The 24,697-nt window shown below is 46.0% G+C and overlaps 1 protein-coding gene across 6 annotated transcripts in view; it reads left to right on the forward strand.

Annotated features, from left to right (window-relative positions):
• GNL3L (G protein nucleolar 3 like) overlaps positions 1-24,697 on the forward strand; it is a 115,636-nt gene that overhangs the window by 16,653 nt on the left and 74,286 nt on the right. For 4 of the 6 annotated variants that reach the window (XR_007068190.1, XR_007068191.1, XM_047442190.1 and 1 more), the window contains exons 9-16: positions 1,358-1,502; positions 4,092-4,179; positions 4,697-4,871; positions 4,961-5,103; positions 5,421-5,557; positions 7,694-7,821; positions 11,565-11,784; positions 13,649-13,776. Coding sequence is in view for 4 of the 6 variants with exons in the window: in XM_047442190.1 (XP_047298146.1) it covers positions 1,358-1,502; positions 4,092-4,179; positions 4,697-4,871; positions 4,961-5,103; positions 5,421-5,557; positions 7,694-7,821; positions 11,565-11,784; positions 13,649-13,731 (1,119 nt within the window). In the remaining 2 variants the exon portion in view is untranslated. Of the gene's footprint in view, positions 1-1,357; positions 1,503-4,091; positions 4,180-4,696; positions 4,872-4,960; positions 5,104-5,420; positions 5,558-7,693; positions 7,822-11,564; positions 11,785-13,648; positions 20,419-24,697 lie in introns of those variants that run through there. The other 2 variants (NM_001184819.2, NM_019067.6) reach the window with 1 other exon arrangement.

Raw genomic sequence — 24,697 nt, forward strand, 5'->3', positions numbered from 1 at the left:
CTGACCTCAAGTGATCCACCTGCTTTAGCTTCCCAAAGTACTGGGATTACAGGTTTGAGCCACCGTGCCCAGCTTCTTGGCCTTTTTGATGGCAAAAATAGAAGCCGCCTTTTCTTTCTTTTTTTTTTCTTTTTTTTTTTTTTGAGATGACGTCTCACTCTATCTCCCAGGCTGGGGTGCACTGGTGCAATCTTGGGTCACTGCAACCTCTGCCTCCCGGGTTCAAGTGATTCTTCTGCCCCAGCCTCCCGAGTAGCTGGGATTACAGGTGCGTGCCACCACACCCAGCTAATTTTTGTATTTTTAGTAGAGACGTGGTTTTGCCACGTTGGCCAGGCTGGTCTTAAACTCGTGACCTCAAGTGATCCGCCTGCCTTGGCCTCCCAAAGTGCTGGATTACAGGAATGAGCCACAGCACCCGGCCAGAAGCCACCTTTTCTAACAGCTGTATTTCATTTGTATTCCACTTTAAGGCTACAGCTTTTTAACCTGTTTCTTATTGATGGATATATAGGCTAATTCCAATTTTGTGATATTGGAAACAATGCTGTGGCTGGGCGTGGTGGCTCATGCCCGTAATCCCAGCACTTTGGGAGGCCAAGGTGGGCAGATTGCTTGATGCCAGGAGTTTGAGACCAGCCTGACCAACATGGCGAAACTCTGTCTTTACTAAAAATACAAAAGTTAGCCGGGTGTGGTGGTGCATGCCTGTAGTCCCAGCTACTTGGGATGTTGAGGCATGAGAATCGTTTGAACCCAGGAGGTGGAAGTTGCAGTGAGCCAAGGTTGTGCCACCACACTCCTGCCTGGGTGACAGAGTAAGACTCTGTCTCAAAGAAAAAAAGTAAGGGAAGAGGAGGGAGGGAATTCTGGGCAGAGGAAGTGGCATCAGGAGTAAAGGTTGGGATGGCTTTGTCCTGTGTGAGGAATTGAGGGAGGGTAGGCTGTGGGCCAGGCTCCCTCTCATCCCTGCGCAGGCAGGGAGGGTGGGCATCCCTGTTGTGCACACAGGGCACTGAGGCCTGGAGAAGGGAAGCAGGCTTTGCTGGACATAGGCCTGTGAGAAGTAGACCTGGAGCTCAAACCTGGCCTATTTAGAGCCAGGATGCCATCCTGCCACTGCCGAGGGAGGCAAGTGACATGTGTCGAAGCAGACGCAGGGGCAGAGGAGACTGGAGACACAAAGACAGTGGAGGGGAATGGGGAAATGACACGTGTTCAAGATCTGTGTGAGAAGCCTTCCGTTTCAGGCTGAGGAGCTCAGTGATCATAGGGAGGCCCTGAAAGTTGGAAATCTGGGCTCAGACCTCATCTGCCACCTGATGTCTCTTCTGTGATATTCAATTTTTTTTTCCAGAATCGTTGCAGTGTGCCAGTAGATCAGGCCTCTGAGTCACTGCTGAAAAGCAAAGCCTGCTTTGGAGCTGAAAACCTCATGAGGGTTCTGGGGAACTATTGCCGCCTTGGTGAAGTGCGCACCCACATTCGTGTGGGTGTTGTGGGTAAGACCTGCTGTGTGGTCATGGGGCTCAGGCTTCTTTCTTGAGCGGACACTTCGCTGGGGGAAAGGATCCTGGGAGCTTCATTGTCTTTTGCGGGGAGAGAGGAGTGGTTCAGGAGAAGGGTTTCGTGATTTGTAACTTGGATGGGTGGGCATCACTGCGTATTGAGTATTAGATTCATGGAGCAAATACAGGGTGCCAGGCTTGGACTTGGTACCATCTCATCCTATCAGAGCTATGGGAGGATGGGGTGACCGTCTACCTTTTACGGATGAGAATTCTGAGTGAGGCTCAGAGAAGGGCAAAGGGACTTTTGGAGCCCAGCCCTGTGCAAGACAAGGCAGAGCTGAGGATCAAAACCTGGGCCTTTCTGGAGCACAAGTTTCTGAGGGAGGGATGATGGGAATGGAGTAGGGAAATTGAGAGAGGCAGAGATAGATCACCAGAGAAAGAATGTGAAGCCACGTGAGAAAGACATTGGAGAGAGAGCTAGACACTGAGAAGGTATAGGTATGCATACCAGGATAGATACAGAAGAAGACACAGAGAACGCACTGGGAAGCCAGATGGCAGGATTGGTGGGGAATGGAAAGAGGAGACAGATTTACATGATGGAGGCATGTAAAGAGGGAGATACAATCAGAAACACCAAAAGGGACATAGAAACAGACATGCATACAGAGATCTGCCGAGGGAGACATAGGAAGGGTAGAGATAACCCATGTATGTAGAGAGGCAGACATGTTTTCTCAAAGAATGAGAGAGAAAAACATACTACAGGGATAGAGACAGATTCAGAGAGAGACATACATGGAAGCAGACTGGACAAGGCTGTAGATACAGAGGAACACATACACATAGCTCTTAAGTACACATACAGATCCACAAACACATACACAGACCCACGCTACAGACCCAGAGATCCAGAGGAGGCACATCTAGCGAGACAGAACCACAGTCAAAATGCATGTAGACCAAGCCCTTCCCACACACACCCACCCCAACGCTGCTCCCCCAACGCGCATAGAACCACAAGGAGGGCTGGATGTAGCAGCTCATTCATGCCTGTAGCCCCAGCACTTTGGGAGGCTGAGGCGCACAGATCACTTGAGGTCAGGAGTTTGAGACCAGCATGGCCAACATGGCGAAACCCCATGTCTACTAAAAATACAAAAATTAGATGTGTGTGGTGGCGGGCATTTGTAATCCCAGGTACTCGGGAGGCCGAGGCAGGAGAATCGCTTAAATCTGGGAGGTGGAGGTTACAGTGAGTTGAGGTTACAGTGAGTTGAGATCGTGCCACTGTTGAGATCCAGCCTGGGCAACAGAGCGAGACTCCGTCTCAAAAAAAAGAAGACACGCATGTGCCCACATACACTTTGACCCTCGAACATAATCACATACCTAGAGTTACAGAGGGACACAAATACCAGACATGTCACTATGAGGCAGGTATGTGTACCTGTACAGAGAGAAATAGAGACATACAGAGAGGAGGTTAAGGAGGCGCAGACAGGGAGAGAGTAGAAGAGACACCGTGAGACACATACAGAGAGGCATCCATGAAGTGACCAGCCCACAGAGATGAGGAGCATGGACAGAGGCTGACAGGAGTTGGCATGGAGGGAATTACAAATAGAGGCAGGATTGGTGGGGTGGAGAGAATCAGAGAGAAAAGAACAATGGCCAGAATGAGAGACAGACAAATTGGCAGAGAAAGAGGTGCTTAGATACAGAGACACAGAGAGAAACAAAGATAAGATAGAGAAAGAGACTGAGTGGGAGAGATACAAGAAAAGGAAAAAGTGGTGATACTGAGAATGGGAATGACCGAGAGAGAGAGAGAGAGAGAGAGAGAGAGATGTGTAGAGACTTCCATGCATGGTGATAATTTAGAATGAGAATGACCTAGAGAGAGGGAGGGGGGAGAGAGGTGTGCAGAGGCTTCATGCACGAGAGGTATACTTAGACATATACCTTTTTTTTCTTTAGGCAATCAGCTTTCTCGGGTTGAAACAAGCATATGCTTGAGACAATAGTACACACATGTAAATTGAGCACATACAGAAAGAGAACGGTGAGAATGAGGCCCAGTGAGGGGAAACACAAAGACATCCACAGGCTGAGAATGGCTGACAGATGCACAAACAGCAAAATACACACCTCAGGTAGACAGCTGCACAGAGAGACTGGCATCTGGAGATGACCTCCATCCCCATCCATGGAATGATACACCCAGACAGGTTGTTCTCTGTTTCTTAGACATTTCTCGATGTCCACCTTCTGTTGGATTGTGCCACTGAGGCCTTGCATTGAGGACCTCTGCCTGGCTGATTGTGAGTGGGAGGTTGGTGTCACGTCTAGAAAGAGGGACATACCTATCTAGCATGCTCACAAATGGAGGGGAGAGGTAGAAAGGCCCTGTAGGGGCTTTGTCAGGGCCTGGGGTGGGAAGGGAGGAGGTCAGGCTCAATTTTTTGGCTTCCCCATGGCCTGGTTACTACCCCTGGCTAGGCCTCCCTCACACAGGCTGGCCTGAGTGTTCCTGAGGGCCTCTTCTGCCCTGAGCCATCTGCTGCTATTTTGTAGGTCTTCCCAATGTTGGGAAGAGCAGCCTGATCAATAGCCTGAAGCGCAGCCGCGCATGCAGCGTGGGAGCTGTTCCTGGAATTACCAAGTAAGCACCTGCCTGCTCCTCCACTCCACAATTCCTTGACCCTACCATTTCCCCCCAACTCCCATGCCTTCAGCCCCTGTCCCTTTCCTTATCATGGACCATCCCCTGATGCTTTCCCCAGGCATGGGAGTCTCATAGCCCTCATTTTCCTGATACACCCTAGGTGTGGGCCAGGTCCCCACATGGGTGGTTCCCATTAGCGCCTTGAAGCTTCTGAATAACGATGCAAGATTGGGCTACAAATGGGAGCTCTGTTGACTGGATGAAGCAGCTGAGGCTTGGAGAGTCAAGCTTGCCCAAGATCCTGCAGCTCAGTCCCCAGTGGCAGAGGATAGATTAGAATCAGCCTCAAGTCTGTAGAGCCCCAGTCACCCCTCCTCCAACTCTACATCTCTCCACCTTCGTCTCTAATGCACCCTCCCCTCACTCCTTTACACTCCCACATCCCAGGCCCACCTTCGTGATTGGGGCCTCTACGATGCCAGGTACATCTGGGCTTTCTTCTTCCCCGCCCCAGATTCATGCAGGAGGTCTACCTGGACAAGTTCATCCGGCTCTTGGATGCTCCAGGCATTGTCCCAGGGCCCAACTCAGAGGTGGGCACCATCCTGCGTAACTGCGTCCACGTGCAGAAGCTGGCAGACCCTGTGACCCCAGTGGAGACCATCCTGCAGCGCTGCAACCTGGAGGAGGTCCGCAGCAGAGCCCTGGCTGATGCCCTGCCCTACTCTAAGGGCCCTTCATTCCTCCTCATGACTTCTCTCCTTCCTCCCTTCACCAGATTTCCAACTATTATGGCGTCTCTGGGTTCCAGACCACTGAGCACTTTCTGACGGCAGTGGCCCACCGTTTGGGGAAGAAGAAGAAGGGAGGCTTATATAGTCAGGAACAGGCGGCCAAAGCTGTCCTAGCTGACTGGGTGAGGTGAGGAGGGGGTTAGGGGTAAGGGTGAGGCCCGCTGGCAGCCTGGCTCCCCAAAGGGGCTCATCTGTGCTCATTGCCGCTGGGGCAGCTTGACTTCCTGGGTCTTGGGGCAGAGGATGGCCAAGGTGCCAGGTCATGTCCTGCTCGAGACTTTATGCCCAGTGATTATCCAGCAACTCAACTCCTTCTTGTTCAGAAGCCACTGTCTGGGTTTTCTTGTTCCGTTGCTGTTTCTGGCCTGCAAACTCATCGTCTCTTGGATTGTCATTGGTTCTCTCAGTGACAGCACCACTCATCTCCCCTATCTCCCAATGCAGCGGGAAGATCAGCTTCTATATACCACCACCAGCCACTCACACTCTGCCCACCCATCTCAGTGCTGAGATCGTTAAGGAAATGACCGAGGTCTTTGACATCGAGGATACTGAGCAGGCCAATGAAGACACCATGGAATGTAAGTGTGGGCAGGGTGGGTGCACTTGGTCTTGCACTAGTGGGGCCACACAGACCTGACAGCAAATCCCACTTTTGACCTCCCGCTTCCTTGGCCCTACTTGGGCTTTGGGCAAGTTGCTTAAGCAGCTTCAGGCCTAATTTCTTTTCTTGCAAGGTGGGGAATTCTAATCTGGCCCTGGCAGGGCGGGTTGGGGGAGGGTGGTTGTGAGCTTTTGGTAAATAACGAAAGAAAAAGTGCCTGGTACCCATTGAGGTGCTCTGGAAATGTGAAGCTCCATTCCTGTCTCTTGGGACCTGGAATGGACTGAGACATTCTCTCAAAAACTCTCTAATGTTGCCTTAGGCTTTTTCACAACCACTTCAGGTCCACTTCTCGATTTTCCTTCTTACCCCTATCGGTGAGTAAGGTACCCAAGTCACAGAAAGCTGATATTTGCCAAAAGGATGTCAGCAGAGGTGGCCTTTGACCCAGTTCTCCTGCCCTGTTGAAGACTCTTCCAGCTCACAGGAGCTGGGTGTCCAAAAGTATAGACTGCCTGGATTCAAATCCGAGCTTTGTTTCCTTTTTACTGTGTGATGCTAAACAAATTACTTCACTTCTTTGTCTCAATGATGTCATCTGTAAAATGGGGACAGTAAGTCCACCCGATAAGGTAGTTATGAGGATTTTTTTAATAATGTAAAAGACATTTAGAACAACAGTGCCTGGCATATAGTAAATAGATGCTCAGTAAATGTTAGTTTTTATTAAGATGATTATTTGCTGGGGAACAGAGATGTGACTCTCAGAAACTCCTGAGAATGTTTGCCCTCCTCAGATATTACTCTCTGCAGCCCTGGCTTGTGGCTCCCTGCTTCATTCTCTACACTGCCTAAGGAAGGTATCCAGTGCCTTCTGGGCTTGTCTGTAGACATTATGGGGTAGTTGAGGAAGCGTTGGCTAGCCTGGCTTCTAGATTCTCTGTTTTTTCTCTTGAGGTCCAGTAGTTTTCCTTCTCTGGGTCTTTTAGTGTCCTTGTGTTACACACGAGGTTAAGAGGACTTGCCTGCTTTCTAGTTTGTATTTCATGTGGCTTTGAGCAAGTCAGCCCCCTTTCTGAATTTGTTTCCTCTTTTTGTTTTTTTTTGAGGCAGAATCTTGCTTTGTTGCCCAGGCTGGAGTACAGTGGTATGATCTGGGCTTACTGCAATCTCTGCCTCCTGGGGTCGAGTGATTCTTGTGCCTCAGCTGCCTGAGTAGCTGGGACTATAGGTGTGCACCACCACGCCTGGCTAATTTTTTTTATTTTTAGTAGAGATGGGGTTTTGCCATGTTGGCCAGGCTGGTCTTGAACTCCTGGCTTCAAGCAATCTGCCTGCCTTGGCCTCCCAAAGTGCTGGGATTACAGACATGAGCCACTGTATCTGGCCTTAGTTTCCTCTTCTGTTAAATAGGGCAGTTGAGAGGGGTTTGAGTTTATGTTCTTATGATGATGCTTGACCCTGGCTGGATGTGAGGGCAAGAGGTGCTCCATCACTGAGAATACATTTTGGCCAAAGACTGAGGTCTGAGAAATTGAGAAGACAGTGAGGAACAGGTTTAGTGGTGAAGGTTTCCTGGAGGACTTGGCCCTAGTGCTGGATCTTGAAGGGTGAGTAGGGATTAGAAGGCCGAGGGTAGGGAATAGGGGCAAAATTATAGAAGCAGGCATGAGGGTAGTGGGGCACAGGGCAGTGGGCACATCTGAGGGTTGCAGTAGAGGCCAGCTCCAGGCAAGGGGCCAGAGAGAGGAGGAGAAAGTCTGGTCCTGGGGAGGGAATCCCAGTGCCTGCCATTTACAGAGCAGCATCTTGGGCCAGAGCATTACAGACATCTGCCATGTCTCACAGCAGCCCAGTGTGAAGAGGGCTTGTGGAATTCCCATTTTCCACATGAGGAAGCTGAAGCTCTGAGTCCAGCTCCCAGCAAGTGAATGTCCTACTGCAAAACCCATGCTTTTAATTCTTGGTGATGTGGCCTCTCAGCAGGAGTGAAAAAGTTCCTGCACCTGACTCCCCTGGGAAGCATCCATGTATCCTTTTCACTGAGGCCTGACCAGGGGGCTGGCAACAGAGGGGAGCCAGGGCCCTGACAGTGGTGTTGGTTGTGTTAAAGGCTTGGCCACCGGAGAATCTGATGAGCTGTTGGGTGACACGGACCCACTTGAAATGGAGATCAAGTTGCTCCATTCTCCGATGACGAAAATAGCAGATGCCATTGAAAATAAAACCACCGTGTATAAGGTACCTGTCATCTTTGTTCATGGCAACCCTCTTCTCTCCCCAGGGCTCTGGGAAGTGGTCAATCCCTTTTACCTGCCTTTCATGTGGTGAGATGTGGGTAGTTCACTCGCTCCCTATGGGCTTCTGGATGCCTGGCCTAGTATATCCTTTACCAAGCAATGACAGGTCCAGGAAACAGGCATGCTCTCTAAGGCAGCTTTCCCAGCTCTGGTTCTAGCCCATAGAACAGGTATCACTATCTAGCCACCCAGTTGTCCAACTTGCAAACGACTCTTTCTTCTCCCTAACTAGTACCAGGATTTTATTTTATTTTATTTTTTATTTTTTTATTTTTTTTTGAGATAGAGTCTCACTCTGTCACCCAGGCTGCAGTGCAGTGGCGTGATCTTGGCTCACTGCAGCCTTTGCCTCCCAGGTTCACATGATTCTCCTGCCTCAGCCTCCCAGTTAGCTGGAATTACAGGCATGCGCCACGACACCCGGCTTAATTTTTGTGTTTTTAGTAGAGACAGGGTTTTGCTATGTTGGCCAGGCTGGTCTCGAACCCCTGACCTCGGGTGATCTGCCTGCCTCGGCCTTCCAAAGTGCTAGGATTACAGGCATGAGCCACCATGCCTGGCCTGGGATCTTATACTCTGTCAGTCAGCAAGACCTATGTCTTCTCCCTCCTAAATCTTTTGACAAGCTTTTCATCCTTTTCATCCCTACCATTCCTGTTACCCTAAACTAAGCTTCCAGCCCTCACTTACTTGGACATATGTCCCAAGGTTTCTTTCTTTCTTTTTCTTTCTTTTTTGAGATGGAAACTCGCTCTGCCACCCAGGCTGGAGTGCAGTGGTGTGATCTCAGCTCACTGCAACCTCCGCCTCCTGGGTTCAAGCAATTCTCCTGCCTCAGCCTCCGGAGCAGCTGGGACTACAGGTGCCTGCCACCATGCCTAATTTTTTTTTTTTTTTTTTTTTTTTTTTTGTAGAGATGGGGTTTCACTGTGTTGGCCAGGCTGGTCTTGAGCTCCTGACCTCAGGTGATCCACCTGCCTCGGCCTCCCAAAGTGCTGGGATTACAGGCATGAGCCACTGCACCTGGCCGTGTCCCCTGGTTTCTAATGGCCCAGTCTGACCATGTCACCTCCCCTGCTTAAACTGATTTCATGGCTCCCCAACACCTACACAATCAAGTCCATATACCTGTGGCCTGCTATTGAAGATCTGCAGGGCATGATATGATGACTCCTAGAGGTTTTTTCAGCCTCTTCTTCTGCCAGTCCATCCTCCATCTCTGCCCTTGAGGAGTTCATATTTTAGTGGGTTTCAGACACAGACATCCGCACTGTGATGGGAGACACATAGGGTGCGGATAGGGGTCGAGGTTGGGACAGCATGGATCCAAGGACCCTAACCTGTACTACCTGTGGGTCAAGGAAGTCTTGCTTGAGTCATGTATTAGTCCGTTTTCATACTGCTGTAAAGAGCTGCCTGAGACTGGGTAATTTATAAAGGAAAGAGATTTAATTGACTCACAGTTCAGCACGGCTGGGGAGGACTCAGGAAACTTACAATCATGTCAGAAGGTGAAGGGGAAGCAGGCACCTTCTTCACAAGGTGGCAGGAAGACGAATGAACACAGGAGGAACTACCAAACACATAAAACCATCAGATCTCATGAGAACCCACTATCATGATAAGAGCATGGGGGAGACCACCCCCATGATTCAATTACTTCCACCTGGTCTCTCCCTTGACATGTAGGGATTATGGGAATTATGGGGTTTACAATTCAAGATGAGATTTTGGGTGGGGACACAGCCAAACCCTATCAAGCCACGTCTTGAAACCTGAGGAGTTCTCTGGGCAAGGGGGTCAGCAGCATGTGGTCCAGGACCCAGCCATGTCAGCCAGGCTGGTCTCGAACTCCTGACCCTAAGTGATCCGCCCTCCTTGGCCTCCCAAAGTGTTTGGATTACAGGTGTGACCCACTGCGCCCAGCCAGAGACAGACACTGTTTTTGGTACTCAGGTGTGCTCTATGTTTTTTCAGTGTTCAGTCAGGAATGACCCCTCCCCATCAGTAGTATGTTGACCACCACTATCATCCCTAACCTCAGTCACTCATCCTTCATGTTTCTGATGGGCAGTTACCATACTCTGATTAGTGGTATAGATCATTGTACCTTCTTTAGCCTGGTTGTTTCCTGAAGATGGAACCGAGGCCGGGCGCGGTGGCTCATGCCTGTAATCCCAGCACTTTGGGAAGCCAAGGCGGGTGGATCACCTGAGGTCAGGAGTTCGAGGCCAGCCTGGCCAACATGGTGAAACCCCGTCTCTACTAAAAATAAAAAAAATTAGCCAGGTGTGGTGATGCACGCCTATAATCTCAGCTACTCGAGAGGTTGAGGCAGGAGGATTGCTTGAACCTAGGAGGCACAGGCTACAGTGAGCCAAGATCATACCACTGCACTCCATCCTGGGCAACAGAGCGAAACTCCATCTCAAAAAAAAAAAGATGGAATGGAGTCACTCATTTCTCTGTCCCAGCATTGCCCCACACGGAGCTGGACACAAAGTAGATGTCAAAAAAAAAATTTTTTTTTAAGACAGGGTCTTGCTCTGGCACCCAGGCTGGAGTGCAGTGGTGTGATCTTGGCTCACTGCAGCCTTGAACTCTGGGCTCAAGCAATCCCCCCACCTCAGCCTCCCAAGTGCCTGGGATTACAGATGCAAGCCACCATGCGCAGCTAATTTTATTTTTATTTTTATTTTTTGAGACAGGGTCTTGCTCTGTTGCCCAGGCCGGAGTGCAGTGGTGCAGTCTTGGCTCACTGCAACCTGCACCTCCTGGGTTCAAGTGATTCTCCTGCCTCAGCCTCCCAAGTAGCTGGGATTATAGGCACCCCTCACCATGCCTGGCTAATTTTTGTATTTTCAGTAGAGAAAGGTTTCACCATGTTGGCCAGGCTGGTCTCGAACTCCTGACCTCAAGTGATCTGCCCGCCTCAGCCTCCCAAAGTGCTAGGATTACAGGAGTGAGCCACCATGCCCAGCCTCCCAGCTAATTTTTAACAGAATTGTTTGTAGAGACGAAGGTCTCATTTTGATGCTTAGGCTGGTCTCAAACTCCTGGGCTCAAGTGATCCTCCTGCCTTGGCCTCCCAAAGTGCTAGGATTACAGACCTAATCCTAGTGAACCACTGCGCCTGCCAGAAAATTTTTTTTTTTGAGACAGAGTCTCTGTTACCAGGCTGGAGTGCAGTGGTGCGATCTCGGCTCTCTGCAACTGCCGCCTCCCAGGTTCAAGCGATTCTCTTGCCTCAGCCTCCCGAGTAGCTAGGACTACAGGCGTGTGCCACCATTCCCAGCTAATTTTTGTATTTTTAGTAGAGACGGGGTTTCATCGTGTTGGCCAGGATGGTCTCGATCTCTTGACTTTGTGATCTGCCTGTCTCAGCCTCCCAAAGTGCTGGGATTATAGGCATGAGCCACCGTGCCTGGCCTACCTTTTCATTTTATTCTTGTAGAAGCCATGCAAACTACCCCTTATCCACCCCCCATTTGACAGATAGGGAACTGAGGCTGAGAGTTAACTAAGCACCTGCTGGAGTGTGGTGGGGCCAGAATTGGAGCCTAGTTCCACATGGCTCCAGGCTCCTGTTCTTACCCAAGCCTGTGTCCCTACCTTTTCTGCAGAAGTCTTTGGAGGTTCTCTGGGGGTTAAGACCTCATCGTTATGTTTTCTGTCTCTTCCTAGATTGGAGATCTCACTGGGTATTGCACCAATCCGAACCGTCATCAGATGGGGTGGGCTAAACGCAATGTGGACCACCGCCCTAAGAGCAACAGTATGGTGGATGTCTGCTCAGTGGACCGCCGCTCAGTGCTGCAGAGGATCATGGAGACGGACCCCCTGCAACAGGGCCAGGCTCTGGCATCTGCCCTGAAAAATAAGAAGAAGATGCAGAAACGTGCAGGTGGGAGCCCCAGACCAACCCTGTGCTCTGAAAGGGGCCCACATGGGATCTTTTTTTGTTTTTTTTTTCTGGCTCACTGCAGTCTCCGCCCCCTGGGTTCAAGCGATTCTCCTGCCTCAGCTTCCTGAGTAGCTGGGATTACAGGCACCTGCCACCATGTCCGGCTCATTTTTGTATTTTTAGTAGAGACGATGTTTCGCCATGTTGGCCAGGCTGGTCTCAAACTCCTGACCTCAGGTGATCCACTTGCCTCGGCCTTCCAAAGTGCTAGGATTACAGATGTGAGCCACTGCACGTGGCCCCACCTGGGATCTTGATTGGGGCTCCTGAATGAGTATCTCTCTGTGTCCAGCTCCAGTCTAGGGTTGGGGGCAGGGATGAGCTAGGAGGCTCAACTACTAGCACAGTGGCTCTCAAACTTCAGCTCGCATCAGGATTCCCTGGAGGGTTTGTTAAAACACAGATTTCTGTGCCCCTCCCTCATAGTTTCTAATTGAGTAGGTCTTCTGTGGGGCCTGTTAGAATTTGTATTTCTAACAGGTTCCCAGCTGATGCTATTTCTCTGGGGATCACACTGGGAGAACCACTGGCCTGCCTAGTCTATGTATCAAATAACGACCATTTATTTATCAGGTACTCTCTATGTGTTAGGTAGCTTGCAGGCTATATATCAATAGGCAATATACTCAAAATCCTACACGTACAAGAGGATATACAGTAAAATCTCTCCCACCCGCTAGTCATCCAGACCGCCCCCTCGTCAGCCAGTTAGTTTATTGTGTCTTTTCTGAGACACAAGCAAATATCTATATATTCTTTGTTCTCTTTTTCCACACAAATGCCAATCTACTGGACACATGGTTTTGCCCTATCATTTTTCCACTCACTATGTCTTAGGGATATGTCTATGTTAATACACAAAAGAACTTCTTCCCCTCGTTTTAATGGTGGTACATTGTGTAGCTGGCCCATTTGGGTTTCCATGCTGTACTTTTCACTAACTCATTGCAAAAGTCTTCCCCTTATTTGATAAGTGAGAAAACTGAGGTCCAGAGACATTAAGTGACACGCTAAAGGTAAGACAACTTGTAGTTGATGGAGCCAAAATACAGACTTTGGGTTGATTGACCCCAACAGCCCTATTCTTTGAACTAGATTGTGTTCTGTAACCAAACATACACAATCAGACATTCACTCTTGGCCTGGCTCCACACTGAGTCCTGGGAATTCAGATGAATTGCCTTTGAACTCCTAGTCTTATTAGGGAGTGAGGAGGAGACAAGAAAACAGACCTTGGCAGCACGAGCACATAGTAATCACGTTGAAGACCCAGCAAGCACAGTGAGGGAACCTAACCCAGCCTGGGGATGGTGGTTGGATAGGGGTGATCAGAGAAGGCCTCCTGGAGGAGGTGAAGTCTGGGGGGCATCCTGAGGAACAACAGGGTGTGTCTGGGGGATGGGAGGTGTGCGTGGTGAACGTTCAGGCTTATGGCGAACATACAGCCGTGTTGCCCTTTGCTGTGAGAGCTTTGTTTTGAGGGTAATGGTAGAGCACTAAGTTTGACATAGTAAAAGAAAATTATTGCTTTGGTATTTGGACAAAAATACTTGGAGCCCAGTGAGTCTGAAACCCTGAGATAGAAGCTGTGTTGGGATGATCATTTCACAGATAGAAAAATGGATTGTCTACCTGTGAAGCTGAGCAGTGGCTTCCAGCACTCACCAGTTTTGTGGTAGCGTTTGGGGGTAAGTGAGCCAGTTCAGGAGCTTGGTGTAGACCAAGGTAGATGTAGGCCAGCGTCAGCAGGCCTCCTGGTGGCAAGCCAGCCACCAAAAGATTGCCTGTATTTCTCCATTTGCAGATAAAATCGCCAGCAAGCTGTCTGATTCCATGATGTCTGCTCTCGACCTCTCTGGCAATGCTGATGATGGTGTTGGTGACTAATCGACTGATCTCACTTCCCTTCCGCTCCAAGCACCAGTTCCGGTGGTACGGGGGAATACCAGTGAAATAGTTTGGTTCTCCCTGAAGCATCTGCATATTGAAAGAACGCTTTCCCCACTGTGTGTCTTCTCCCCCTCCTCCAGTAAAAACAGTCCCGGCTAGGTGCTGTGGCTCACGTCTGTAATCCCAGCACTTTGGGAGGCCGAGGTGGGCAGATCACCTGAGGTCAGGAGTTCGAGACCAGCCTGGCCAACATGGTGAAACCCCGTCTCTACTAAAAATACAAAAAAATTTAGCCGTGCTTAGTGGCACCTATAATCCCAGCTACTTGGGAGGCTGAGGCAGGAGAATCGCCTGAACCTGGGAGACTAAGGCAGGAGAATCGCCTGAACCTGGGAGGCAGAGGTTGCAGTGAGCCCAGACGGCACCATTGCACTCTAGCCTGGGCAACAACACGAAACTCCGTCCCAAAAAAAAAAAAAAAAAAAAAATCCCAAGGGGCTGCAGCTGCCAAACCCAATACCCTCTATTTAACCCCTACTCTGTTTTACAAGAGAAATAAAAGAAGTATCAGCAGAGCTCAGGTGCTAACACCTGTTGAGGGCTGACCTACAAAACTCTGCCTACAAAACTCTCTTAGACAGGTGAATATGCCACTAGAAGTTAGGTTGCTGGTAGACCTGGGGGTCCCTGCGGGAGGGTGATGGTTTCTTTACCACCCCACAGGAGATTTCAGTGGCAAGGCATGCCTGCAGTGGGCTTTGGGCCATGCATCTTCCAAGTCCATAGGTCTTCACCTGGGTGGCAGTGAGAAAAAGTAGAAAGTAATGAGCCTCCTGTGTCTCTGGAAGGTTCTAGGGATAGGGTAGAGGGAAGAAGAGAACAAACAAGCCTGGCTTGTGCTGAAGTGTGGTAGGCACTACCCTGTTTGCGTGAAGAGAAAACAAAGCACCTGTTAGTAGGGAGGCTTTAGGGGGAAGCCCCGTCTTGGGGGCATTTCTGGGCAGATTGTGAATTGGAGGAATCTCTTTAACTGAAGTACTCTGGCTGGACCCTGCCCTTGTGTGACCATGTCTCCTATTGCACCAGCATTTGAATTCCATGGCTCAAGAGGGTTCTGGTACCATTTATTCACAGACTGTATCCTCGAGAGAGCTGCTATATATGGGAGTGTACCAGCCAACTCCTTTTCCAGTGTCTGTAAGTCACCTCATTAAAGTATAATTAGCTGTCTCCTCTGGGAGATCCTACCCCATCAGACAAGGGCAGTGAGCCCAAGCAGTGCCAGAGGCCCTCAGAAAGGGATTAGGGTAGATGATTGCAACTGAAACACAATCTTCTTTCTTTGCCAGGGTATTTTGGGGGTTTTGCCCCAAAATATACCCTGGGCATAGCATTACTGCAGTCTTGGATGTCTACCCCAAACTTCCACACCATCCTTCGACCCACAGCTGCACCTTTATTTATTTATTTTGCTCTGTTGCCCAGGCTGGAGTGCAATGGCGTGATCTCGGCTCACTGCAACCTCTGCCTCCCGGGTTCAAGTGATCCTCCTGCCTTAGCCTCCCAAGTAGCTGGGATTACAGGCACCTGCCACCACGCCTGGCTAGTTTTTGTATTTTTAGTAGAGACGATGTTTCACCATGTTGACCAGGCTGGTCTCGAACTCTTGACCTCAAGTGATCCACTCGCTTCGGCCTCCCAAAGTGCTGGGATTATAGGCGTGAGCCACTGTGCCCAGCCTCACAGCTGCATCTTAACCTTACCTTTGCCTCTGCCTCTCAAGCTGGTACCTCCTAATTTACATCCTAAGAGTGGAACCATGTGACAAGGACTGGAGTGCCATTGGCTGTGGACTGTTCAGGCAGGGAAGTACAAGACCACTCTTGTATTCAGGGGCAACCAAAGGAGAGAATTACGTACTTGTTGAGTACAAACTGCACCAAGCCCTGGAGACCCATTACCACCGTTAACCCTCAATACAGCTCTGCTAGTAAGGGATTCGTCTCCCCAAATGAAAAAAAAAAGTAATCTCAGAATGTTGGCCGAGCATGGTGGCTCACACCTGTAATCCCAGTTATGCAGGAGGCTGAGGCAGGAGAATCACTTGATCTCAGGAGGCGGAGGTTGCAGTGAGTCGACATCACACCACTGCACTCCAGCCTGGGGGACAGAGTGAGACTTCGTCTCGGAAAAAAAAAAAAAAAGTTGACAGGATGGCCAGACCCAAGTGGGCGTATTAAGTGGTGGTGCTAGGATTGGAACCCAAGCGTGATTAAAACCCTATGCAGGCCCTTTCCTCTATATTGTACTGCCTCCTTAACAAAGGAAGATTGATTAAGCCCCTACTTTGTGCCAGTCTCTGTTATCAAGTCCGTTAAATGCATTTAACGTTAAATTTTTTCTTTTTTGGTTTAAAAAACTCTAGTTTCTTAAACTACTAGTTTTTAGTGTCTTGCTAAAACTATGTGCTCTTGAATAGGCTACAACTTATTTCACACTATCTCATTGAACTCTCCTGGTATGTGATAGTGTTATAATGAAAAATTGCATACCAGGACAGCTAAGTCTATTTTGCAACCATACAGCGTTTCATAATTTAGCATTTAAAATACAGACAGTCCCCGACTTTTGGTGGTTTGATGTGGGATTTTTGGTGGAAAAGCAGTATACATTCAGAATGCACCTCTACTTATGATGGGGCTACTTCCTGGTAAACCCATTGTAATGTGCAAATTACGGGTTTATCAGGAGGTGACCCCATCGGTAATGGAGAAGTGCTGGGAGGTAAATATTAGAAATGGAAGTATCTAAATGAGTAAGAAACAGCATGGGAGCATAATTTGGCCAAAATCAAACAGAACTAAAGTAGTCATGTCGGTAAGAATTTGGGACTGCAGGCCAGTTACGATAGCTCTCACCTGTAATCCCAGCATTTTGGGAGGCCGAGGCAGGCGGATCACTTGAGGTCAGGAGTTCAAGACCAGCCTAAACAATATGGCGAAACCTCATCTCTACCAAAAAAATACAAAGATTAGCTGGGCATGGTGTCTCATGCCTGTAGTCCCAGCTACCTATGGGGCTGAGGCAGGAGGATCTCTTGAGCCCAGGAGGTCGATGCTGCATTGAGCCGAGATTGTGCCACTGCTCTCCAGCGTGGGCAACAGAGTGAGACTGTCTCAGGGGGAAAAAAAAAGAGGAAAACAAAAAAGACGTTGGGAGTGCAGTTTCTCTACCTACAGCATATCTCAAAGGTTTTTTTTAAAAAAGTATTTTCTTAACTTTTTACCTTCATTTTTCAAAACAATTAGGGTACAATTTACATATAGTAAAGTTCACTCTTTATAGTTTTAGTTATGTGAGTTTGTACAAACATATACAGGAGTGAACCACTACCACAATCGAAATATAGTTGCATCACCCCCCTAAAACTCTCCAGGCCCTTTTGTAGTCAACTCCTACCCCCGACCCTCAGATTCTGCTAACCACTGATTTGTTTTCTGCCCCTATAGTTTTGCTTTAGTATGACTGTCATATCAATAGAATCATACAATGAGTAGGCTTATTTTATGCCTTCAGGTTTTAAAAATTATAAACATTTACATTACAGTAAAATTCACTCTGGTATACAGTTCTATAAAGCTCTGATAAATGTGTAGAGTTGTGTAACCACCAATGCAACCAAGGTACAGAACAGTCCTCTTAGCCTCTCCCTACCAAATTTATTCCTGCTACTTTGTAGTCAAAACCAGTCCCCTACACCCAAACCCTGGCAGTCACTGGTTTTTTTCTTCGTTCTCTTTTTTTTTTTTTTTTTTTTGAGACAGAGTCTAGCTCTGTTGTCCAGGCTGGAGTGGTGCAGTGGCGTGATCTCGGTTCACTGCAACCTCCGCCTCCAGGGTTCAAGCGGTTCTCCTGCCTCAGCCTCCCGAGTAGCTGGGATTATGGGCGCCCGCCACCACGCCCAGCTAATTTTTGTATTTTTAGTAGAGATGGGGTTTCACTGTTTTGGCCAGGCTGGTCTCGAACTCCTGACCTCATGATCCTCCTGCCTCAGCCTCCCAAAGTGCTGGGATTACAAGAGTGAGCCACTGCGCCTGGCCTTTTTCTTTGTTCTTATATTTTTGTCTTTTTTTTTTTTTTTTTTTTGAAACAGAGTCTCACTCTTTCACTGAGGCTGGAGTGCAGTGGCGTGATCTTGGCTCACTGCAACCTCCACCTCCTGGGTTCAAGCGATTCTCCTGCCTTAGCCTCCCGAGTAACAGGGACTACAGGTGCCCACCACCATGCTGGGCTAATTTTTGTATTTTTAGTAGAGGCGGGGGTTTCTCCACACTGGCCAGGCTGGTCTTGAACTTCTGACCTCAAAAGATCCACCCACCTCGGCCTCCCAAAGTGCTGGGATTATAGGCATGAACCACCGTGTCCGGCCATATATTTTCGTCTTTTGAAGACTGTTATATACATGAAATTATATGGTATGTAGCATTTTGAGAGCGACTTCTTTTGCTATGAGTAATACATTTGAGATTCATCCATATTTCTCAGTATATTAATAGTTCTTATTTCTGAGTCACTCCATTGTGTGGATTTACTACTGTTTGTTCCCCAGTTGAAGGATGTTTAGGATCTTTGCAGTTTTGGACAATTACAAGTAAAGCTGCTATAAACATTTGTATGCAACATTTTGTGTTTTCATTTATCTATAGTAAATACCTAGAGTTGGATTGCTGGGATATATGGTAAGCATATGTTTGACATTTTAAGAAACTTCTAAACTGTTTTTCAAAGTGGCTCTACCATTTCACATTCCCATCAGTATGAAAGTTTCATTTCCACATCCTCTCTAGTACTTGGGGGTGTCAGTTTAGTTTTTTAATTTTTAAATTTTTTAATTTTTTTAATACATTTAAATAGAGATGGGGTCTCACTGTGTTGACCAGGATGGTCTTGAACTGCTGGCCTCAAGTAATCCTCCCATCTCGGTCTCCCAAAGTGCTAGGATTACAGGTGTGAGCCACCATGCCCAGCCAGGTTTTTTGACATTAAGTATGTGGTGGTATCTCATCGTTTTTATTTGCATCCTCTAATGATTTGAGCATATTTTATATGCTTATTTGCTATCTACATATCTTCTTTGGCAAGGTGTTCACATCTCTTGCATATTTTGGATTGTTTTATTATTTTTGAATTTTGAGGATTATATGCTGGATACAGGGGTGTTTTTTTTTTTTTTTTTTTTTGAAACAGAGTCCTCACCCAGGTTGGAGTGTAGTGGTGCAATCTCGGCTCACTGCAACCTCTGCCTCCTGGGTTCAAGTAATTCTCATGCCTCAGCCTCCTGAGTAGCTGGAATTACAGGCGCAGGCCACCATGCTTGGCTAACTTTTATATTTTTACCAGAGACAAGGTTTCACCATGTTGGCAAGGCTGGTCTTGAACTCTGGACCTCAAGTGATACACCCGTCTTAGCCTCCCAAAGTTCTGGGATTACAGGCATGAGCCATTGTGCCTGGCCAGTATCTTGTCTTCTCATTCTGTAAACGGTGTCTTTTTTTCATTATGGGAAAGCTTTATTGACACATTTGTTTTTATTTTTAAAAATTATGGTAAAATACACAGAACATAAACGTTACCATCTGATATGGTTTGGCTGTGTCCACACCTAAATCTCGAATTGTAGTTCCCATAATCCCCACACATATGTACCACATTTTCTTTATCCAGTCTTTCGTTGATAGACATTTAGGTCGATTCCATGTCTTTGGTATTGTGAATAGTGCTGCAGTGAACATATGTGTGCATGTGTCTTTATGGCAGAATGATTTATATTATGCATAACCAAAACTGTACTTATTAAACAATAACCTCCCAACCCCTTCTGCCCACAACCTCTGGCGACTGCCATGCTACTTTCTGTCTCTGAATTTGAATACCCTGATAGTCATATAATATTTATCTTTTTGTGACTGGCTTATTTCACTTTGCATAATGTATTCAAGCTTAATCTGTGTTGTAGCCTGCGTCAGAATTTCTTTTCTTTTTAATGCTGAGTATTATTCTATTGTGTGTATATACCACATTTTATTTATCCATTCATCCACTGATGGACATGTGCATTGTTCCCACCTTTTGGCTATTGTGAAAAATGCTGTTATGAATATGGGTATGGAGATCTCTCCCCTTATTTTGAGACAGGATCTCACTGTCACCCAGGCTGGGGTGCAGTGGTGTGCTCATAGGTCACTGTAGCTTCGACCTCCTGGGCTCAAGCGAACCTCCCACCTCCGCCTCTTGAGTAGCTGGGACCACAGGCATGTGCCACCATGGCTGTTAAATTTATTAATTTGTTTTTCTATGGATCATGCTTTTTGTGTTACATCAGAGGAGTCTTTGCTTAACATGAGATGACAAAGGTTTTCTCCCATGTTTCCTCCTAAAAGTTTTATAGTTTTAGGTTTTACATTTAGGTCTATGATCCATTTTGAGTCAATTTTTGTATATGGTACAAGGTATGAATCTATGCTTTTTAAAAAAATATGGTTACCCAATTTTTCTAGCAGTATGTGCTAAAACTTTGCTAAAGTCACTTAGTTCTAGTAGCTTTTTTTGCAGATTTAACCAGACTTTCTACATAGACAATCATATCTTCTGTGAATAAACATGGTTTTATTTCTTCATGTCTAATATATATGTCTGCATTTTTTTTTTTGTCTTATTGTAGTCGCTGGGACTTCCAGTACTACACTGAGTAAGAGTGGTGGCCAGGTGCGGTGGCTCACGCCTGTAATCCCAGCGCTTTGGGAGGCTGAGGTGGGCTGATCACCTGAGGTCGGGAGTTTGAGACCAGTCTGACCAACATGGAGAAACCCCGTCTCTACTAAAAATACAAAATTAGCTGGGTGTGGCAGCGCATGCCTGTAGTCCCAGCTACTTGGGAGGCTGAGGCAGGAGAATCTCTTGAACCCAGGAGGCAGAGGTTGCAGTGAGCCGAGATCACACCATTGCACTCTAGCCTGGGCAACAAGAGCGAAACTCCATCTCAAAAAAAAAAAAAAAGAATGGTGAGCACAGGCATCCCTGTCTTGTTTCTGACTTTGGGGGAGAGTATTCTTTCTGCCTTTAACCATTAAGTATGTTAGATTTTTGTATTGCCCTTTACTAGTATGAGGTGCTAAGGGTTTGTTTTAGGAATGGATGTTAGATTTTCTTAAATGTTTTTATGCATCTATTGAAATGATTACATGGTTTTTCTTTTGTGGTTTGTTTTTAATGTAGTTTTAATAAATTATATTGATTGATTTTCTTATGATAAACCAATCCTGCATTCCTGTGATAAACCCCACTTTGTCATGATGTATTATTCTTTTTTTTTTTTTTTTGTGAGACGGAGTCTCACTCTGTCACCCAGGCTGGAGTGCAGTGGCATGATCTTGCCTCACTGCAACCTCTGCCTCCCGGGTTCAAGTGATTCTCCTGCCTCAGCCTCCTGAGTAGCTGGGACTACAGGTGCGTGCCACCACGCCCGGCTAGTTTTTGTATTTTTAGTAGAGATGGGGTTTCACCATATTGGCCAGGCTGGTCTCGAACTCCTGACCTTGTGATCCGCCCGCCTCAGGCTCCCAAAATGCTGGGATTACAGGCATGAGCCATTGCACCCAGCCTATTCTTTTAATAAATTGTTGGGAAGTTATATTAGTTTCTATTGCTGCTGTAAAAAATTAGCACAGACTTTGTGGCTTAAAACAACACAAATCTATCATCTTACACTTCTAGAGGTGAGAGGTCCCAAATGAGTTTCACTGGGCCAAAATTGGTGTTGTCAGGGTTACACTCTCTCCAGAGACTCTAGGGGAGAATCCATTTCCTTGCCTTTTTCAGCTTCTAGAGGCTGCTTAGATTCCTAGAATAATGGCTTCTTTCCTCATCTTCAAAATAACTATGTAGTATCTTTTTTTTTTTTTTTTGAGACGGAGTCTCACACACTGTCGCCCAGGCTGTTGTGCAGTGGCACGATCTCCGCTCACTGCAACCTCTGCCTCCTGGGTTCAAGTGATTCTCCTGCCTCAGCCTCCCAAGTAGCTGGGATTAGAGGCATGCGCCACCATGCCCGGCTAATGTTTTGTATTTTTAGTAGAGATGGGGTTTCACCGTGTTGGCCAGGCTGGTCTTGAACTCCTGACCTCATGATCCATCTGCCTGGGCCTCCCAAGGTGCTGGGATTATAGGCGTGAGCCACGACGCCTGGCCAACAATGTAGTATTTTTTCTCTTTTCTGAACCTCTCTTCCAATCCTTATATCTTCTCTGACTCTGATCTTCCTGCCTCTCACTTAAAAGGACTCTTGTGATTACTTTGCATGCATTGGGATCATCTAGGATAATCTCCACATCTCAATATGTTTAAGTTAATCACATCTGGAAAGTTCCTTTAACCATGTAAAGTAACATATTCAAAAGTTTTGGAGATTAGGATCTGTAGATCTTTGAGGATGGGAGGCATTATTCAGCCTACTGCAGATGTAATTTGATAAATTTTTGCTTGGAATTTTTGCATCTACATAAGGATATTGGTCTGAAGTTTTCTTTTGTTTAATGTCTTTATCTTTGGTATCGGGGTAATGCTGACCTCATAGAATGGGTTGGGAAGTGTTTCCTGTTTTTGGAAGAGTCTGTGTACAATTGGTATCATTTCTTAAATTTTAGAGTTTACCAGTAAGTTTTATTTGTGGGAAGGTTTAAGACTACAATTTCAATTTTTAAAATATATATAGGGCTATTCAGGTTATATTTCTTCTTGTGTGAGGATTGGTAATTAGTATTTTAAAGAAAGTTCTTCATTTCATGTAGTTTATCAAATTAATTTTTGTAAAGTTGTTAATATCCTCTTATCATTTTGTATAAATTGTTAAAACGATTCTAAAATTGATAAGAAAATGCAAAGTAGTTAGAATGTAGTCAAAGCAACTCTGAAAAAGGAACAAAGTTGGAAGACTAACACAATGTGATACCACATTTGTCATTCCTGATATTAATAGTTTGTGCCTTTTTCCCCTTGATCATCTGGCTAAAGATTTATCAATTGTATTGATCATCTCAAAGAATCACATTTTGGTTTAATTGATTTTCTCTGTTTTCTGTTTTCTAATTCATTGGTTTCTGCTTTATCTTTATTGTTTCGTTTTGCTTATTATCCAAAAAGTTTATGATTTTTGTATTACTTAGAACTGTGTTATTTAACTTCCACATATTTGGACATTTTCCAGAGATCTTTCTGCTATTGACTTCTAATTTAATTACATTATGGTAAAGGAATGTACTTTATATGACTTGAATATGTTAAAACATATCAAAACTTGTTTCATGGCCCAGAATATGGTCTGTATTGGTAATATGTTTCATGTGCACTTGAGAAGAATAAATTTTGCTGTTGTTGAGTAGTCTTCTATAAATGTCAACCAAGTTAAGTTGGTTGATAGTGTTTTTCATGTCTACTATATCCAGGCTGACTTTATGCCTACTTGTTCTATCAGTTATTAAGAGAGGACTATCGAAGTCCCCAATGATAATTGTGGATTTGTCTGTTATTTTTTGTAGTTGTATCAGTTTTTATTTAATTGATTTTGAACCTTTCATGCTAGGTGCATAGACCTTTAGGATTGTCATGTCCTCTTAGTTAACTGACCCCACTATCATTCTGAAATGAACTTCCTTGTATTCTTTGTTCTGAAATGCATTTTGTCTAGTATAAATATAGCTGCTGCAGCTTTTTTGGGCTAGTTTAACTATGGTATATCTTTTTCATCCTTTTACTTTTTATGTATTTGTGTGTTTATGTTTAAAGTGCATTTATCATAGGCAGCATATAGTTGGTTCTTGCTTTTTTATCCAATTTGACAGTCTCTGCCTTTTAATTGATGTTTGGATCCATTTACATTTAATGTTATTATCAGTATGGCTAGGTTTGAGTCTATCATCTTGCTATTTGTTTTGTATTTGTTCCATGTATGCTTTGTTCCCTTTTCTCCCTTTTTCTGCCTTCTTTTGGATTACTGTTTTTTTTAATGATTCCATTGTTTTTTCTTCCTTGATTTATTAGCTGTACCTCATTGTTTTATTATCTTAGTAGTTGCTTTAGAGTTTATAGTATAAATGTTTAACTTCCTCCTCCTGGCTTTCATGCTAGTGTCATAAATTTTACTTGTAGATTTTATAAACCTTAAAATACATTGTTGTTATTTTTGTTTATACTTTAAGTCCTCTTTTAAAGAGATTTAAATAATAGAAAATAATTATATACTCACATAGTTACCATTTCTGGTATTCTTCATTGCTCTGTGTGGCTCCAGACTTCTATAAGGTAGCATTTTCTTTCTGCCTGAAGAACTTTCTTTAACATTTTTTGCATTGTGAGTCTATTGGGCAATGAATTAATTCAGCTTTTGTATGTCTGAATGTATTTTTTTTGCCGTCATCTTTGAAAGGTATTTTTGCTACATATAGAATTTAAGTTGATAGGTTTTGTCTTTCAGTACCTCAAAAGCATTGTTTCATGCTCTTCTCAATTATGTTGTTTCTAAGATGTCATCCTAATTTTTTTTTTTTTTTTTGAGACAGAGTCTTGCTCTGTTGCCCAGGCTGGACTGCAGTGGCACGATCTCAGCTCACTGCAAGCTCCACCTCCCGGGTTCATGCCATTCTCCTGCCTCAGCCTCCCGAGTAGTTGGGACTACAGGCACCGGCCACCACGCCCGACTAATGTTTTTATATTTTTTAGTAGAGATGGGGTTTTACCGTGTTAGCCAGGATGGTCTCGATCTCCTGACCTCGTGATCCATCCACCCGCCTCAGCCTCCCAAAGTGCTGGGATTACAGGTGTGAGCCACTGCGCCCGGCCTTTTTTTTTTTTTTTTTTTTGAGACAGGGTCTTGCTATGTTACTCAGGCTGGTCTCAAATTCCTGAGCTC

This window comes from Homo sapiens, chromosome X (assembly GCF_000001405.40).
Source record: "Homo sapiens chromosome X, GRCh38.p14 Primary Assembly".
NCBI classification, from domain to species: domain Eukaryota; kingdom Metazoa; phylum Chordata; class Mammalia; order Primates; family Hominidae; genus Homo; species Homo sapiens.